General features: G+C 52.1%; 1 protein-coding gene across 1 annotated transcript; it reads left to right on the top strand.

The window, feature by feature from the left end:
* OR10S1 (olfactory receptor family 10 subfamily S member 1) lies at positions 1-1,121 on the top strand. Its single transcript, NM_001004474.2, has one exon. The coding sequence runs from the start codon at positions 118-120 to the stop codon at positions 1,084-1,086; it is 969 nt and encodes a 322-aa protein (NP_001004474.2). The 5' UTR covers positions 1-117; the 3' UTR covers positions 1,087-1,121.
* Positions 1,122-1,332: the final 211 nt, after the last annotated feature.

The following is a 1,332-nucleotide window of genomic DNA, read 5'->3' as shown; positions in this document are numbered from 1 at the left end:
GACCAAGGTGGTGTGGCTTGATGGATAATGACATCTCAGGAAAGGGATACAGCTATTTATTCCATTAATGTCAGTTTTGTTGCAAAGGGGATGACTAGCCGCTCTGTGTGTGAGAAGATGACCATGACAACGGAGAACCCCAACCAGACTGTGGTGAGCCACTTCTTCCTGGAGGGTTTGAGGTACACCGCTAAACATTCTAGCCTCTTCTTCCTCCTCTTCCTCCTCATCTACAGCATCACTGTGGCTGGGAATCTCCTCATCCTCCTAACTGTGGGCTCTGACTCTCACCTCAGCTTACCCATGTACCACTTCCTGGGGCACCTCTCCTTCCTGGATGCCTGTTTGTCTACAGTGACAGTGCCCAAGGTCATGGCAGGCCTGCTGACTCTGGATGGGAAGGTGATCTCCTTTGAGGGCTGTGCCGTACAGCTTTATTGCTTCCACTTTCTGGCCAGCACTGAGTGCTTCCTGTACACAGTCATGGCCTATGACCGCTATCTGGCTATCTGTCAACCCCTGCACTACCCAGTGGCCATGAACAGAAGGATGTGTGCAGAAATGGCTGGAATCACCTGGGCCATAGGTGCCACGCACGCTGCAATCCACACCTCCCTCACCTTCCGCCTGCTCTACTGTGGGCCTTGCCACATTGCCTACTTCTTCTGCGACATACCCCCTGTCCTAAAGCTCGCCTGTACAGACACCACCATTAATGAGCTAGTCATGCTTGCCAGCATTGGCATCGTGGCTGCAGGCTGCCTCATCCTCATCGTTATTTCCTACATCTTCATCGTGGCAGCTGTGTTGCGCATCCGCACAGCCCAGGGCCGGCAGCGGGCCTTCTCCCCCTGCACTGCCCAGCTCACTGGGGTGCTCCTGTACTACGTGCCACCTGTCTGTATCTACCTGCAGCCTCGCTCCAGTGAGGCAGGAGCTGGGGCCCCTGCTGTCTTCTACACAATCGTAACTCCAATGCTCAACCCATTCATTTACACTTTGCGGAACAAGGAGGTGAAGCATGCTCTGCAAAGGCTTTTGTGCAGCAGCTTCCGAGAGTCTACAGCAGGCAGCCCACCCCCATAGTCTGTGCTATCAAAACTCACAATTTGCCTGCCAGGAAAGCAACTATTCACATCTCAAATCATTCAGGTGGAAATCAGAATAACTGAGTTGCAACTCAGTCACACACTTTCCCCCAGCTTTGGCCAAATGGTCTACCTCACTCTCTCCCTTGCAAACACTTCATCTAGAAAATGAGGAGGCTGGATTAGATGATGTCTAGAGTCTCTCCAAAATCTATGTTCTATGGTTCAGAGGTATGTGAAATGC

The sequence above is a fragment of the Homo sapiens genome, chromosome 11, assembly GCF_000001405.40.
Source record: "Homo sapiens chromosome 11, GRCh38.p14 Primary Assembly".
Taxonomy (NCBI): domain Eukaryota; kingdom Metazoa; phylum Chordata; class Mammalia; order Primates; family Hominidae; genus Homo; species Homo sapiens.
This window is presented reverse-complemented; position numbering and strand designations above follow the sequence as displayed.